General features: G+C 42.8%; 1 protein-coding gene, 1 long non-coding RNA gene and 1 pseudogene across 14 annotated transcripts in view, besides 4 other annotated features; 2 read left to right on the top strand and 1 right to left on the bottom strand.

The window, feature by feature from the left end:
* Positions 1-17,369, top strand: part of SSH2 (slingshot protein phosphatase 2) — a 304,291-nt gene that overhangs the window by 274,200 nt on the left and 12,722 nt on the right. For 10 of the 13 annotated variants that reach the window (XM_047436967.1, XM_005258058.4, XM_047436968.1 and 7 more), the window contains 3 exons: positions 422-468; positions 5,229-5,375; positions 7,685-7,885. In XM_047436967.1, the coding sequence (XP_047292923.1) occupies positions 422-468; positions 5,229-5,375; positions 7,685-7,885 (395 nt within the window). Of the gene's footprint in view, positions 1-421; positions 469-5,228; positions 5,376-7,684; positions 7,886-10,662; positions 10,883-12,650; positions 12,929-17,369 lie in introns of those variants that run through there. The other 3 variants (XM_047436970.1, XM_017025253.3, XM_005258060.4) reach the window with 2 other exon arrangements.
* Positions 12,324-12,618: an enhancer, noted in NCBI's record as "tiled region #3347; HepG2 Activating DNase matched - State 9:DNaseU, and K562 Activating DNase unmatched - State 6:EnhF". NCBI's record gives its function as "activates a minimal TATA promoter and a strong SV40 promoter by Sharpr-MPRA in HepG2 and K562 cells {active_cell/tissue: HepG2 | K562}" and the evidence as "EXISTENCE:reporter gene assay evidence [ECO:0000049][PMID:27701403]".
* RNU6-920P (RNA, U6 small nuclear 920, pseudogene) lies at positions 14,327-14,418 on the top strand (annotated as a pseudogene).
* On the bottom strand, positions 15,128-16,528 carry SSH2-AS1 (SSH2 antisense RNA 1). Its single transcript, XR_001752823.2, has 2 exons — positions 16,298-16,528; positions 15,128-15,368 (listed from the first exon to the last, which is right to left on the bottom strand). It is a non-coding gene; the product is annotated as an SSH2 antisense RNA 1 (long non-coding RNA).
* Positions 16,184-16,478: an enhancer, noted in NCBI's record as "tiled region #11433; K562 Activating non-DNase unmatched - State 5:Enh". NCBI's record gives its function as "activates a minimal TATA promoter and a strong SV40 promoter by Sharpr-MPRA in K562 cells {active_cell/tissue: K562}" and the evidence as "EXISTENCE:reporter gene assay evidence [ECO:0000049][PMID:27701403]".
* Positions 16,184-16,659: a biological region, named in NCBI's record as "Sharpr-MPRA regulatory region 11433".
* Positions 16,350-16,659: an enhancer, noted in NCBI's record as "active region_11983". NCBI's record gives its function as "activates an Ori minimal core promoter by ATAC-STARR-seq in GM12878 lymphoblastoid cells {active_cell/tissue: GM12878}" and the evidence as "EXISTENCE:reporter gene assay evidence [ECO:0000049][PMID:35858748]".

The raw sequence follows: 17,369 nt of genomic DNA, 5'->3' as shown, positions 1-17,369 counted from the left end.
CCTCTAGGAGCTTATATTAAAGGTAGTTAGAAAGTAAGCACATAAATAAATATATAGGTACAAATTGTGATACATGCTGTTGAGGAAAATAGGAGATTACTATGAGCAAGAATAACAGAAGACATCTAATTTAGATTGGATGATGGTTAAAGACACCTCTCCTGCTGTATGATCATGGGCAAAAATTATTTGAATTCTATGAGTTGGTTTTTGTATCTGTAAAAATGAAGATGAAAATAACATTCTTACTCTATCATTTGTGAAAACTAAATGTGATAACATATGAAGTGCCTGGCAACTTAAAGGGCACTGGTAGATGTTATTAGTCTTCTTTTTGAAAGTTCTTCTTCTCTCGCTCCTTTTCAAGTATTGTTTGGTTGATTTGCTAATACTCCTTAACCTTGTCTTTTTGGCTCCATAGGGCTCAGAATGGAATGCCTCCAACTTAGAGGACTTACAGAACCGAGGGTAAGCACACAAAGCAATAGCTGGCACCCCTGTGTAACAGAAGTCCCTGTTTTATCTTCATTTTCCCATCAAAGAGGTATCAGTGGGTAACTTTAATCTTAAGAGTTGCATCTGACTGATTCTAATCAGATGTAATCTAAGAAAAATAAAAATAGCTGGGCCGGGCACGGTGACTCACGCCTATAATCCCAGCACTTTGGGAAGCTGAGGCGGGTGGATCACAGGTCAGGAGATCAAGACCATCCTGGCTAACACAGTGAAACCCCGTCTCTACTAAAAATACAAAAAAATTAGCCAGGCATGGTGGCGGGCGCCTGTAGTCCCAGCTACTCAGGAGGCTGAGGCAGGAGAATGGCGTGAACCTGGGAGGCGGAGCTTGCAGTGAGCCAAGATCACGCCACTGCACTCCAGCCAGGGTGACAGAGCGAGACACCATCTCAAAAAAAAAAGAAAAAGAAAAACAGCTATTCTCCCTGTTTCGTCCCCCCACCTCCCAAGAATACCAGCTGCTTTAATTGAAGGGCTTTGAAGAACAAATGTGCAAACCATTGGTGATGTTTAAAATCAAATTTTTATTTTTATGCAAGAATACATAGAATTGCATATGTAGGGTTCACAGAGCTGTTCATTCAACATTGATTGAGCGTCTTCTGTGGGACAAAGTGCTAGGTGCTGGGGATCCACAGATAAATTAAGACTCAGTCCCTATCCTGTGTAGTAAGCTGCTTAAAGACTGTAGGTTATGGTTGTGAACTGGACAAGCTTCTGAAATTGAAGAGGACCTATCTTATATTAAGAAAACTGTCCCTAAGCAGCATGGTTATTAAGTTTGATTGTAACAATAGAGACTACAGTGAACATTCAGCAAGTAAAAAGCTGCCATTTTTCCCTTAGCTGATGCCTACTAAGTTTCTTATTGAAGTTCATTCACTTTAGGAGGTCAGCTAATCCCAATAAGAAAAGAGAAAATAAGGTCTGAAATTTGCCATGCTAACTCATTGTGGAAAGAGATAAGACCAGCTGAGACTCAGAGGTAGTGATGGTTGCTGGCTGCCTGTTTTCTCAGCCATAAGCCTCCTGGTTATCTTTACCATTAGTGGATAAATACTCCCTACTTTTTCCCCACATGAAAAGTATTTCATAATTGGCCAAATGAACTTGGAACAGGACTTAAGCCAAATGATTATACAAAGAATTCCGGGGGGTGGGGAGGGGAATCTGGTTGCTTAATTTAAAATTTGAAGTTAAATAAAACTTGGAAAACTTAATAAGAAAGTCTAGAGTTCTTCAAGGCAGAGACTGTATCTTAGTCTTGCTTATAGCTTACTATCTACCTAGCTCAGAGCTGTATAACAAGAGGGTGCTCAGTAAATGTGAATGAATGATAGGTATGTTCACACATATTTGAACACTGTGACTTGGCTGATGGCAGATAAGGAGAGAAAATCAATTAGCAAACTGTGTTGGGAATTCAGAGACCTCAGTTCTAATCCTGTATCTGCCATTTGCCTTATTTGGAAATGCCCCTGAAGCATAAGGACCCCATAATTCAACAAGATTAATAACATTGCATCTGCTTTATATACAAGAGTCTCCTTAAGATTTCTTTAGGAGTGGGACAATGTTTTTTACAAGCTTCTCAAGTCATCAAGCTTTAAAAATTCTGTAATTCTGGCCAGGCATAGTAGCTCACGCCTGTAATCCCAGCACTTTGGGAGGTTGAGGCAGGTGGACCACTTGAGGTCAGGAGTTCAAGACCAGCCTGGCTAACATGGTGAAACCCTGTCTCTACTAAAAATACAAAAAATTAGCTAGGTGTGATGGCAGGCACCTGTAATCCCAGCTACTCAGGTGGCTGAGGCAGGAGAATTGCTTGAACCCGGGAGGTGGCGGTTGCAGTGAGCTGAGATCATGCCACTGCACTGCAGCCTAGGCAACAGAGTGAGACTCTGTCTGGGGAAAAAAAAAAAAATCTGTACTTCTGGGAAACCTAGATACAGTGTTTAATATTAAGCCTGAGATGCGGTATAGCAGTGTTTGCCAAAAGCACTGGAATCATGTCATATATACATATGAATTTAGAATATAACCCCAGCTGGAGATGAGACCCATCATATCATTTGCTTCTTAGAAGGCTAAATTATAAAATGCAACTAACTGTATCTAGTTGTCTTTAAAAACAGTATGGTCAAATTCCCAGATAGCTACTTAGATCTTGTTTCTTAAATTCAGTGATTGTTAAATTTTAATATGTGAAGAATTACAGTTCAGGGATCTGTACACAAAACCACATATAGTGCTGCCTATAGATGACTTAATGGGATTTTCAAGGGTAATTTTGACATTAAGGCCATTTCCATCCAATCTGCTGACTTCAGAACCTTACCCAAAGTAAAATGTTACTCTGTATAGAGTCATTTGGTGCTGAGATGGGAAAAAAGTTTCAAGGAGTTTCAGTTCCAATTGGCAGTGACTGCCTACAGCTTTGTAATGAAAAGGATTGGGAAGCTGTGTCCTGCCTCTAGAAAGATAGTGCCATAATTTATTATGAGGTATGGGATTAGAGGTGGGAGATTGTTCATTTTTATTTTAAATAAAATAAGGAGGCCGGGCAAGGTGGTTCACACCTGTAATCCCAGCACTTTGGGAGGCCGAAGCAGGCAGACCACAAGGTCAGGAGTTTGAGACCAGCCTGGCCAACACGGTGAAACAGCATCTCTACTAAAAATACAAAAATTAGGTGGGAGTGGTGGCGCACACCTGTAATCCCAGCTACTCGGGAGGCTGAGGCAGGAGAATTGCTTGAACGGGGAGGCGGAGGTTGCAGAGAGCCAAGATCGTGCCATTGCACTCCAGATCTGGGCGACAGAGCAAGCCTCCATCTTGGGGAAAATAAATAAATAAATAATAAAATAAAATAAGGAAAGTGTGTTGCCTGTCTTTTTTTCTTTTTCCTTTTTTTCCTGTCACCCAGGCTGGAGTGTTGCCTTTTTTTCTAAAAGTTTCATTGAAATATAATTTACATACCATATGATTCACCCATTTTAAATGTATAATTTGTTGGTTTTTAGTATATTCATAGAGCCGTGCAACCATCACCACAATCCATTTAGAACATTTTTTCAACTCGGAAAGCCTGTACCCTTCAGGAATCACCTCCATTTTTCTTCTTACCCCTGCCCCAACAATCCCTAGAAATCACTAATGTTCATCAACTAACAAAGAGCCACTCTTCGGCTGTTTTGAATAATGCTGCTGTGACCATTTGTGTACAAGTTTTCAGATGGGCTTATATTTTTATTTCTCTTGGATTTATTATTTGGAAAGGAATTGCTGGGTCCTGTGGTAATTTTGTGTTTACCCTTGGGGAAACTGCTGTACTGTTTTCCATAGCAATTGCACCTTTTTTTTTGTTTTTGAGACTGAGTTTCACTCTTATTGCCCAGACTGGAGTGCAATGGCGCAATCTCGACTCACTGCAACCTCCGCCTCCCGGGTTCAAGCAATTCTTCTGCCTCAGCCTCCCAAGTAGCTGGAATTACAGGCACATGCCACCACGCCCAGCTAATTTTGTATTTTTAGTAGATACGGGGTTTCACCATCTTGACCAGGCTGGTCTCAAACTTCTCACCTCTGGTGATCCGCCCACCTCGGCCTCCCAGAGTGCTGGGATTACAGGCGTGAGCCACTGCGCCTGGCCAAGCTCGCTTTTTAAATTAAATAAAAAAAAAAATTTGTAGTAATGGGCTTTGATGCCAAGTTAAAACAGATTCAATTCGTGTCTGAGAAAATTTTTGGCCACTTGACCTTAACCACAGATTTGGTTAGCTATGGCTGCTTTCTTTTTCTGTATTCATTTCATTGATTTCAGAGTTTGGGTTTATGGAACTTCACATTTGTGCTGAGAAGGAAGCAATGTCTCAGAGAGAAATGAGTGAGTCCATGCTGTATTGTTGGAGTAAACTTAGACATCCAGCTATGTCTAAATCACAGCATTAAGAAAAGATAATATTTGGTAAATGGAGCTCAAGCATTTATTGAGATTGTGCAGTGAGAAAGATAATAGAAGACTGTTTTGATACAGAAACTCTCTTCTGCAAGCATCTTAGTGTGGAAGAATCTTCGGATACATCGATGCCATAGCAGCCAGTAATGCAGTCAAATGAGTTTAAGGGAGTTTTAAGTCCGGCTTTTCTCTGACCCTTCCAGTTCTGTCCTCATTTGCCTTTCATGTAGTTTAGAGAGAGTAATTGCACAAAGCCTAACAATCTGGCATTTAGAAAAATAGGAAGAAATCGTTATTCATTCTCTCTTTTTTCACTTGGGGTACATGTCAGTAGTCTGATTTTATACAGATGACTTTCAGAGAATAAATTGTATTGCTGACAATTTTAGTAACTGAGAAAGTGTCTGATTATGGACTCAAGTTGATTCTTTGGAGTAAAATATGAGGCATATTTTCAGAATACTATCAAGGATACGATTTTATAACTACATAAACTGAAAATGGAATTTAGATGTTGAACATGGTGAATAACTTTTTGCTTAATAATTCCCTGGTGCCCAGGTATGCCCAGGAACCCTGCTGTATCATTTCTCTAATAAATAAATATAACCTCTTAGTTTTTTAGCTGTCTTCATTATTTTTGTATTTAATTTCAGTCTATGGAATAAACAAGTTTTAAGTAAGAAAAAACAGTGCTGGGAATTGGATTTAGCCTGAGTAGTAGAGCACATATTCTCCCTTGGTTTCCTTGCAGGGTACGGTATATCTTGAATGTCACTCGAGAGATAGATAACTTCTTCCCAGGAGTCTTTGAGTATCATAACATTCGGGTATATGATGAAGAGGCAACGGATCTCCTGGCGTACTGGAATGACACTTACAAATTCATCTCTAAAGCAAAGTGAGTAATAGTCCTGCACAATGTTGTGATCTCTGTTCCTCTTGCCCCACCACACATGGCTGGGTCCTGAGGGCTATAGACAACTTACTGATGGTACTCAGGAAAAAGGAACTAAGGAAAGGAGGAGACTGAAATCTTTTTAATCCTAGGCAAAAGACTAGTGACTCACTTTAAGTAAAGTAAACCCCTAGGAGAAAGTAACCTCATGTTGGCTATTTCCATTGAGCACAGAATTAAAGAAAATAGACTTAAACTGCAGCAAAAGATACAGAAATGAGAGAAGGAAGAAATTCTGAATGAAATTAAGTTGCCAGTGGGGAGTTTTAAAAGTTATATCATAGAAATTATTTCAGATAGATAGAATACTGGTCCTCCCCGCTGAAGATAAGGAGACAAACTTTGGAAATCTTTTCCTACTCTCTTACTTTATTTTTATGATACTCTAAATGATGAAATTTTTCTGTGGCCCTTCTGTTGATGTCTTCCTTAAATTAGTTGGCTCTTCTAGTGAGAGTATTTTGTATTAACTTAGTGTTTGGTATTAATGTCAACACTGCCTTTTTGTTTTTAAGTCCTTGGGGATTTCCTTGCCAATCCTATTTATTCCTTTACTAGAGAGAACCATAAACGAGCTTGTTTGCCACATCTTCCTTCAGGTAGGACTATGTTCAAACCATCCCTGGCAGATGAGAAGTGCTTTTGTATTTAATTAAACTCCTTCAAAAATAATTTCACACTTCTCTTAAGGACCTTCACGGTCAGGAAGTTCTTCCTCTTAGTTTCTCTAAATCCTCATACTCTAGCTTTGAGCCTATTCCTTTATTCTCAGCAAGTACCTAAAAGAGTGTTTTATATTTTTGAATTCTGTTAATAAATTATTCCCAGTAATAATACCATTCATGGCATGCTTACTGTTCTCTCATGTAGTATTTTCTAAGATCCAGAGGGGCAGATGTTGTCAACATTCAGAGAGGTCAAATAAGTGGTGAAGATAGGACTTGAACAAAGATCTTGCTGAGACGGGAGGATCACTCGAGCCCAGGAGTTCAAGATTAGCCTGAGCAAGACTCCTATTTCTACAAAAAAAAATTTTTTTTTAATTAGCCGGTCACAGTGGTGCATGTCTGTGATACCAGCTTCTTGGAAAGCTGAGGGAGGTGGGAGGATCGCTTGAGCCCATGAGGTTGAGGCTGCAGTGAGCTGTGGTCGCACCACTGCACTTGAGCCTGGGTTTAGGGGGAAGAAAAAAAAAAACTTGTCTCATTTCAGAATCCAAGGGTACTGGAATAGTCTAGTTCTATAAGGAAAAGGTACTAGAAGGCTAGGCCCCAGTCCCAGTGAAAAGAAAGGCTAATTTTACTTAGGATTAGGGAGAGACGTACGGGGCACCCAGGCACAACTGAGGGCACTCACTCTCAGGCTTTTGCAAGCATGAATCAGCACCTAAGGGTGTGTATCTCTTAAAATGCTCCTATATCTCATCCTAATCAGGACCCTGATTTTTTTTTTTTTTGAGCCAGAGTCTTGCTCTGTTGCCCAGGCTAGAGTGCAGTGGTGCCATCTCGGCTCACTGCAACCTCCGCCTCCCAGGTTTAAGCAATTCTCCTGCCTCGGCCTCCTGAGTAGCTGGGATTACAGGCACACACCACCACTCCTGGCTAATTTTTTTGTATTTTTAGTAGAGACAGGGTTTCACCATCTTGTCCAGGTTGGTCTTGAACTCCTGACCTCGTGATCCACCTGCCTCAGCCTCCCAAAGTGCTGGGATTACAGGCATGAGCCGCTGCGCCCAGTCTGCCCAACTAATTTTTGTATTTTTAGTAGAGACGGGGTTTCACCATGTTGGCCAGGCTGGTCTCGAACCCCCAACCTCAAGTGATCCACCTGCCTCAGCCTCCCAAAGTCCTGGGATTACAGGTGGGAACCACCACACCCAGCCCCATACTGCATTTTAATTGTATGTTTCTCCCACTGAATCCTATCCTTTAGGATAAAAGCTGTATGTTACTTACCTTTGCATCCCAGCACTTTGCACATTGCCTTACACATATTGTAAATGCCTGGTAAATGTTTGCTGAATGGATTAAAGAAGCATAATATTAACATTGAATAATTAGTAGTGAGCTGCCTCACTCTACCCTACCCACACATTTGATTATAAATGTATATGAGTGTACCAAAGTGGAGAGATTGCATAGCAAGAAAATGGAAGAGCAGGACAGGACACTTGGAAAAATCTAGAAACCAACTTTTAAAATATCCCCACTATTGTATTTTCCTCTATTCTTTACCTCAATCCCCCAAACAAGGAAACATGGATCTAAATGCCTTGTGCACTGCAAAATGGGGGTGAGTCGCTCAGCCTCCACCGTGATTGCCTATGCAATGAAGGAATATGGCTGGAATCTGGACCGAGCCTATGACTATGTGAAAGAAAGACGAACGGTAACCAAGCCCAACCCAAGCTTCATGAGACAACTGGAAGAGTATCAGGGGATCTTGCTGGCAAGGTGAGTCAGTGACTTTCTCCAATTCTCCCTCCTTTTAAGTTCCCTAAAGCAAGATGAAGTGTCCTTCTCTGTAGCTACTTCTCAAGCTGATTTGGATGTGATATTTTTTCAAAAAAGACTTATTTCTCTATCAATCCAGTTTTCAAAACATAAGTGTAAGCATTTAAGATTTGCATGGGCTGGCCGGGCACAGTGGCTCACGCCTGTAATCCCAGCACTTTGGGAGGCTGAGGCAAGCGGATCATTTGAGGTCAGGAGTTCGAGACCAGCCTGGCCAACATGGTGAAACCCCGTCTCTACTTAAAATACAAATATTAGCTGGGCATGATGATGGGCCCCTGTAATCCCAGCTACTTGGGAGGCTGAGGCAGGACAATCGCTTGAACCTGGGAGGCAGAGGTTGCAGTGAGCTGAGATTGTACCATGCACTCCAGCCTGGGTAACAGAGCGAAACAACATCTCAAAAAAAGAAAAGAAAGATTTCCCTGGACACACTGCCAGTGGGATAGCTCTGCCCCATAAGGAGCAGTACCAAAAATTTTTTTTAAAGAAAAAAAAGAGTAGTATGGAAGATTAAGCATTTAATCTTTCAGGTTGATATAATTATAAAGGATGGAAATACTAAATATTAATACCACTTTTCAACATCTTATAAGACTAGGTTCAGCTGCCCTTAAAAAAAAAAAATGGATACCAGTGACTCTCAAGGTAATGCGAGGCTTAGCTGAAATTCTTGGAAATTTTTTGGCCCATTCATTCATTCATATTTTATTTGTATTTTTTATGTTTTTTGAGACAGGGTCTCACTCTGTCACCCAGGCTGGAGTGCAGTGGCACAGTCTCGGCTCGCTGCAACCTTTGGCCGACTCTTTTTTTTTTTTTGAGACAGAGTCTCGATCTGTCACCCAGGCTGGAGTGCAGTGGCGCGATCTCGGCTCACAGCAATCTCCGCCTCCCAGGTTCACGCCATTCTCCTGCCTCAGCCTCCCGAGTAGCTGGGACTACAGGTGCCCGCCACCATGCCTGGCTAATTTTTTGTATTTTTAGTAGAGATGGGGTTTCACTGTGGTCTTGATCTCCTGACCTTGTGATCCGCTCGCCTCGGCCTCCCAAAGTGCTGGGATTACAAGCGTGAGCCACCCCACCCAGCCTGGCCGACTCTTTAAAAAAAAAAATAAGTACCATCTGCTAATTTGGGTATTTCTTTACCTCAGTGCTTGTTTTCACTGAGCCTTCTCCAGTAATTTTGATCATGTGACAAATCAGCAGAATACGGATGTGTATAACTCCTTTGAGGTATGAAAGCACTTCCTAGAAACAATTCTTTCTTATTTAAAAAATATTTTGGCCGGGCGTGGTGGCTCACACCTATAATCCCAGCACCTTGGGAGGCTGAGGCGGGCGGATCACAAGGTCGGGAGTTTGAGACCAGCCTGGCCAATATGGTGAAACCCCATCTCTATTAAAACTATAAAAATTAGCCAGGCATGGTGGCGGGCACCTGTAGTCCCAGCTATTCGGGAGGCTAAGGCAGGATAATCGCTTGAACCCGGGAGACGGAGGTTGCAGTGAGTTGAGATCGCGCCACTGCACTCCGGCCTAGGCGACAGAGTGAGACTCTGTCTCAAAAAAACAATTTAATCCAATTATATATGCTTTTCAAAAATGCAGAAAATTGCAAAAGGAAAAAATAGTTAATGAGCTCAATACACACAGACAGCAGTTGACATTACCAGTTTCTCAAGGTTTTACTCTATCACATATTTTGGTGGCTATTTTCGCCACAAAAACTGTTCTGTAGTCTACCTCTCCACTCAGTACCAGGTCTTGAATGTCTTCCTATATCGGTAAGAACCAGCTGTTTTCAATAATAATTTGGTAATTGGTTATAAAATGAGTAATTAATTGCACTACGTTATTATCCCTTTGGTGGTTAAAGCCACCTTCAGCAGCAGGAACAAGCATCAGATATTAAGTGATTTAAGGATCAGTTTCCTGAGATGCTACATGCTGAAATTCTGTGGATTTCTAGATTCTGCTTTGTTTTTTCCATGTAGGTATATTCTAGGTGGTTTTGTTAGGGTGAAGGCACAGCTGTCTAGAAGCAGTTGGGGCTGGTGCCAGTGTTTGACTCCAGTGAGTCTTATGATTTGGTCTTGACTCTTGAATCTGGACTGTGTTTCCCCTGAACAAAATGTTACATAGCCTTCCAGCCTATCTGGGCAGAGGGATCACCCTCCCGCCCCCGAAGTATTGTGAAAATGTGGCCACAGCATAGCATTATGGTTTCCACTAAAAAACCCCTCCCATTTACTCAACATTTGGCATGATTTTATCTGAACCATTCTCTTAGGAGGCTGGGAGGATACTGAAGCGTCCTGTGTTTAAAATAATTTGTAGGTCTTTGGGGCCAGATTTTGATGGCATTTTTAGATTAGATCAGAAGGTAGGATGTAGCAGTTCTTTTTGGCACAAGAAAGAGGCATCTGAGCATTCAGCAAGAAATAAATATATATTCCCAGACACACATGACAGATGTTGGGCAGTGTCCTCACGTGACCCACTGAGAGAAAGGATACTACGTGTCCTGCCAATTTTAGTATTTATTCTGGAATCCCAGGCTTCTGCAAGCTGTTGGGTTGGGTTTTTTTAATGTGTGTGGTTTTCCTTAGTTGTTGAAGGAGTTTCAGAAAAATCTTAGATGAGGATAAGAAGGGCAGTATAAACCCAAAATCACCTTTTCTTCCCTTTCCCTTCCTTTTTTTGCTCCATCTCAGCTTCCTAGGCTTGATTCATGGAGGGAGGGACAAGCCCTGGGGAGAGAAAAGCACAGAATTTGAGTCAGTAGATCTGGTTTCCATTCCTGGTTCACCCTCTTGCTGCAACCCTGAGAAGTTACTTCACATTTCTCATCCTTACCTGACCCCATCTATAAAATGAAAATCAAGAGATCCATCTCACAGGGTTATTGTGAATAAAAATGTGTTTGAATGTTTATTACGTATTGTTGAGAGTTATTCAGATATGATTCTCATCTTCCTCCAAGGCTACCCAGAAGACACGTGTATGTGCCATTTATTTCCTCTTCCATGACATCACTACTGCCTCCTGCCACCCACAGACATATTCCATTCAAAACTGAAATGGGAAGTGTTCCTAGAATTTCCTATATTGTGGTGTTTTCTGGATTTTAAGTACTATCTAGTGCTAGGGATGTCACTTAGGCTGCTTTTGGCTGCAAGTAATCAATTACCTCAATCAGGATCTCAGCAAGAAACAGCAGACTCAGATTAGGATTATTTGAGGAGGGTTATTTATTTATTTATTTATTTATTTATTTATTTATCGAGGCAAAGTCTCACTCTGTCGCCAGGCTGGAGTACAGTGGCGTGATCTCAGCTCACTGCAACCTCTGCCTTCTGGATTCTCCTGCCTCAGCCTCCCGAGTAGCTGGGACTACAGGTGTGCGCCACCACGCCCAGCTAATTTTTGTATTTTTAGTAGAGATGGGGTTTCACCATGTTGGCCAGGATGGTCTCGATCTCTTGACCTCGTGATCTGCCTGCCTCGGCCTCCCAAAGTGCTGGGATTACAGGCGTGAGCCATCGCACCTGGCCATTGAGGAGAGTTTTATAAAGGGACTATTTACAAGTGTGGCATTGTAGTGGAATCAAGGGACTTGTATCAGCAGGGCTGTTTGGAAACAGCTCCTAGACCCAAAAAGAGAGGAAGCAGTTACTAGAACCTGGAAAGAGACTCTTGTTAGAGAAAGGCACTTTCAGAGGCAAGCAATAACTTTCTGTCAGAGGGACACAGCTAGCCTGAGGTAGCCCCGTGCTGAGGGAGCTAGGGGAGTAAATACCTTGCCCTCACTCTCTTTCCTCCAGTCTCCTTCCAGAACTCCCCAATAGCCAAACCCTCTGGAAGTCAGAAAACTAGGGGCCCTGTTGTTGTGCTGCCTCCGCAGCAGCAAACAGGGTGGAGAAGCTGAAGAGTGGACCCTGCAGGGCAAATAAAAGATAAAAGTTGTACCACTTATCATCTCCTTTAAAAAGAAACAAAAAAGTAGTCTCTGTAGTGGCTCAGTGGTAATGTAATCATGGACTCTGGTGTTCTACAGCTTTCTGTTCCACCTTCCTTAGTTAACAGCTTGGTCCTTGAGGTTGTCTGACAATTGCCAGATGTCTGCCACATCTCTAGGCGTCTGTAAATTGTACAGCATCTGGCTGAAGAAAAGGGGCATTTAAACTGGATAGGAAGACCTTCCCCAAAAGCTCCCCACCCATTGCCTAGGACTGGGTCATATGGCCAAGAAAATAGAATTTCCAGGACTGGATAAAACATATTCACAGCCGGGCACGGTGACTCACGCCTATAATCCTAGCATTTTGGGAGGCCGAGGCGGGTGGATCACTTGAGGTCAGGAGTTCGAGACCAGCCTGGCCAACATGGCTAAACCCCGTCTCTACTAAAAATACAAAAATTAGCCAGGCATGGTGGTAGGCGCCTACAAATCCCAGCTACTCGGGAGGCTGAGGCAGGGGAATCATTGAACCCAAGGTGCAAAGGTTGCAGTGAGTTGAGATCACGCCACTTCACCCCAGCTAATCAGGAGGCTAAAGCAGAATGGCATGAAGCCGGGAGGTGGAGCTTGCAGTGAGCTGAGATCATGCCACTGCACTCCAGCCTGGGTGACAGAGCGAGACTCCGTGTCAAAAAAAAAAAAAAAAGCGTATTCACATTTATCCTCTGGATCTAGGGAAGTGCCACATTTCCTGAACCCATGGGACAGTGAACACCCAAATCAAATCAGGCCTCTGACAGTAAGAAAAATGGCTGTTGGATATATAGCTGTTAGGGTCTGCAATCTATGATGTGTTATTAGGACACCTTGGTACTTGTAGGCTAACTGCCAAGTGAATAGGCCCAGCAGACTCGCCCAGCACCAAAGTACCACTCCAGATCTGCCTGCTTAGAAGAGCAAAGAAAAAAATCTCCAGACTCCTATGACTGTATGAAGCTCTATCAAGCCTTGCAATTTAGGTAAGCAGGAGAGGAAAATCCTTAGAAAAATCTCTCATTGTTTGCAGAGAAAGTCCATTTCCTGTCCAAGTGTTTAGATCTTGCATTTTATATTTTATCCCAAGAGGCCTGTGGTGGTTTTCTCAAAGAGGCAGAGCCCTGATCCTAGCATTCGGTAGCTCCATGGTTATCCAGGGTGGCCCTGGGTATTTAATTTGAGGTGGCAGCTCTCTGTTTGAGGGCATTCACTTAGTGCTTTGGCCTTAGTAGAAGAGAAGTTTTCAAAGTGACTCCAGGCTCCTGTACTGATTTGTGAATTGGTTACAGTCTTAATCAGAGTATGAGGGTATGGGCCAAGCCCCTCTGAAATACAAGGGACTTTTTGCACCTCCCAGTATATCATTAAGAGCCTGGAGAAGGCTAATGTTTAATATTTCCCTTTAGACCTAAAAAGAAGGGTATCATAAAGCTACTTATAGCATTTATATCTGATTTTATTTTTTCTGTTTTTATAGATGGGGGATGGGAGCAAAACAAGAGGCGGTGGGGGGGGTGGTGTCTGTGTGTGTGCCTGTGTTTTAAAACTCCATTAAACTGCCAGCAGCCCTGTTTGTTATTCTGCACTCTGATCATGCAGGTATCTGGCAGATTTATGTTCCATTAGAGAGGTTTAGATTTCAAGCAGACCATTTGCAAGTTGGACCGTGTGTCTGTGGTATTAGGTTTCAGTGTATAGGGGGCAAGGAAAAAAACCTGGGTGGTGACCAGGGAGAGTCTGTGCCATGTTTCCTCAGAAATGTCAGTTTTGATTCTTTGAGTGCCCCTGTCACAAGGGCCAGAGGAGGCAGGGTTGTCTTTTACCCTGGCTTTGCTGGTGGAGACACTGAGGTCTAGTTAGCTGATGCACATTGGTCAGCTGGCAGTAGGCAACCTGAGAAGGAAAGATGTGGACTCCTGGTCAGGTGACAGCCAAGAGCAATGGAGATTTAAAAGGATTTTCTTACTAGCTTTCCAGTTAAATAATCTTAAAGCATCTTGGGCGATGCACATCACACAAAAAAATATTCAGATAATGCTTTTTCTCTTCCTTTATACAGGCTGCCTAATACCCCAAAAAGTAACTATAGGCAGCCTGATTTTACTATAACTCCTGGCCCTCTTTTTTTAAAAAAAAAAAAAAAAAAGACAATGTCTATATTGCCCAGGCTAGTCTCACTCAACTCCTAGGCTCTAGGAGTGATCATCATGCTTTAGCCTCCTGAGTAGCTAGATTACAGGCGCAAGTACTCCATTTTTAGCAGCCTTTTCCTTTATATAACTTTCTCAGAGTTGATGTTTCACCAAACACGTAACAATATGAAAGTGGAGGCAAGATAATGGGACGACTTATGCATCTGTCATTTAAATTTCCTTCTTCTTGTGCTCACTTGGGCAGCACATACACTAAAATTGGAACTATACAGAGAAGATTGGCATGGCCCCTACACAAGGCTGACAACTTAAAAATATTTAAAAATAAAAATAAAATTTCCTCTTGTTCATTAACTAGGTAAAAGGCCAATTATTTCCCAGAATGACCTCATCACCTTATGTATGTCTGTGTCTTTATATGAATCCAAATTCAGGTCAGAGGCCACTCAAGGGGGAAAAGGATCTGAGACTTGGTTATATCATCCAGGATACAGACCAACTCTGAAGTTCCTTTTTGGCAAGCTGTTTATTTGCTGCCTGCCTGGAAGGGGGTGGGAGGTGGGGAGTCGGCCGAGTTTAAAATTTAATAGTTTAAAATAATAGATATGATCTAATACATTACATCTATTCCTACCAGTGATGAAGTGTTAGAATAAACTGTCTCAGGACAAAGCTTCATTGGAAAAAAACAGTTTAGTGTAACCGACTAAAACATGATGAGGCCAGGCGTGGTGGCTCATATCTGTAATGCCAACACTTTGGGAGGCCGAGGCGGGCAGATCACTTGAGGTCAGGAGTTTGAGACCAGCCTGGTCCAACATGGTGATACCCTGTGTCTACTAAAAATACAAAAATTAGCCAGGCATGGTGGCGCATGCCTATAATTCCAACTACTCTGGAGGCTGAGGCAGGAGAATTGCTTGAACCAACAGAAGGGAAATAAATTGTGGCATACTCATTACACTCTGTGGATTACCTTTATACACAGTGATGAATCTTTAAAAAAAAAATCCATTGGTGAAGAATATATACAGTGGGATACCATTTATATAAAGTTCAAGACATGCAAAACAAAGCAGTATTAGGAACAAAACATGTTGACACTATAAAGAAAAAAAAAGGGAATGATAAGCACAAAATTCAGGATGGAGGTTACCCTTGAGTAGGGAGGAGTGAGGAGGGGACCCCTGAGTGAGAAGTGACACGTGGAGTAGCAGTGTTTCACAGGCAATGGAGATGAATCAGCTGCTTGCCATTCTCCCTCCAGGTCCTATTGCAAAAATGAAAACAAGGCAGCAGCATCAGACCTATCTTTAGATTGTTTTTTTTTTCTCTCTCTTTTACAAGTGTCAGTTTAATTCCAGAGCCCTGGCCCAGTATTTTCTGATGATTTTCTCCCCAAGGAAGAGAAGGAAATCCCTGCTGGTTACACAGCTGCGATGTCAGACTTCCTCTGAAACATGCACTGTTGCTGCCTATTAGCATAACTTCAGTCTCTCATTCTCTCCTGACTGATTAGTGATCTGCAGGCAGTTTAAAAAACATACTTTGGAGGGGCCGGGCGTGGTGGCTCACGCCTATAATCCCAGCACTTTGGGAGGCTGAGGCAAGCGGATCACGAGGTCAGGAGATGGAGACCATCCTGGCTAACACGGTGAAACCCCGTCTCTACTAAAAATACAAAAATAGCCAGGCGTGGTGGCGGGTGCCTGTAGTCCCAGCTACTCAGGAGGCTGAGGCAGGAGAATGGCGTGAACCCGGGAAGTGGAGCTTGCAGTGAGCCGAGATCGCGCCACTGCACTCCAGCCTGGGTGACAGAGCGAGACTCCGTCTCAAAAAAAAAAAACAAAAAAAAAACATACTTTGGAGGATTCTTGGGATCATTAAACTTCTCATTTTGCCTGTTCTGTTATTAGAAGAGTGAAAACAGCCACCCCCTGAGAGGTCTTCCCAGTGATTTGCATCCCAGGCATTGTCCTACTATGGTGGGTGAGAGAAGCTGGTGCAGGTTTGAACATCCTCATGATAGGTGAGGGATAGAAATTGGGGAATACACTCATATTTATTTCAGGAAACAAGGATGTCTGCATATAAGAGAAGAAACTTTAAAAGGAAACCACTGGCCTCAGTTGGTCATAATGTACAACTTAGGCCCCACCTATCCAAACAGTCAGCTTGCCCCTCCCCACAGCCACTCACTTGAGATGCGTGATATGTTGTCTCCTCCTAGGGGTGGCTGGAGCTCATGCAGCTTGGAAAGGGTGAAAACCCCATCTTATACCCAGCTGATTGATTACAGCTTGTCTTCATAAAAAGATTGACCTGCTCCTTCCCAGGAAAGCACCCCTTTGCTGTGCAGGCATGAGTCAGAGAGAGCCCCACCCAAGCAGCAGACAGGCAGGGGGAGCTGAGAGCAGGTGCAGAGTTGAGAACAAACAGGGGGTCACATTAGTGCAGGCGCCTGAGCATGACTCGGCAGAGCCCAGGCGTGGCCCGGAGCCCAGGGCAAGTTGTTTTGGGCTGAGTTTCCCATTCCACCCTGCGGTTTGGTAACTCCTCATCAGCTTGTAAGTCATGGAGACCACACCCCCAAGGACCATACTTAGTGACCTGTTTCCTGGGCAGATGAACCTGACCAACAAAAGGGCCACCGTTCTCTTTTTGGCTGGGGTTTTGGGAACTGTTTAAGAGTGTGTGGTTTGAAATGAAATCTCCTCCCTACCTCAGACCTCTTTCATAAAATGGTGATGGAGGGGAGTCTTCCTTTGGCCCACCTGCTTTTTCCACGTGTCTCCTTAGCTTAATGATTTTTACCCAGAGATTCTTCTGAAAGGGCCTATCCTTTATGCTGTTCCCTTCATTCTGTTACTAAGCTTTCTCTCCAAATTTACTAGCCGTTCCTTTGCTTTCTGATTCCAGAATGCTTACCATCAGTTCTTCATCCTAGTTATGAGGACTTGGTAATAGGTTCCAACAGAGTATTCCCTTTGTGTTACTTGTATGTTTTGATTTTAGTAGGTTTTTTTCTGATTATAATTTTTAAACATGCCCATTTTTTAAATTCAAAAATTGTAAAAATATAGAGGCCAGGCTTGGTGGCTCACTCCAATAATCCCTGAGGCCAAGGCAGGAGGATCACTTGAACCCAGGAGTTCAAGACCAGCCTGGGCAACATAGTGAGACCCCCATCTCCACAAAAATAAAAAATAAAAAAATCAGCCAGGCGTGGTGGCAAACACCTGTAGTCCCAGCTACTACTAAAAGGAGGCTG

Source organism: Homo sapiens, chromosome 17, assembly GCF_000001405.40.
Source record: "Homo sapiens chromosome 17, GRCh38.p14 Primary Assembly".
Lineage (NCBI taxonomy): Eukaryota > Metazoa > Chordata > Mammalia > Primates > Hominidae > Homo > Homo sapiens.
The sequence above is the reverse complement of the archived record's forward strand: the minus strand, read 5'-3'. Positions and strand labels throughout refer to the sequence as shown.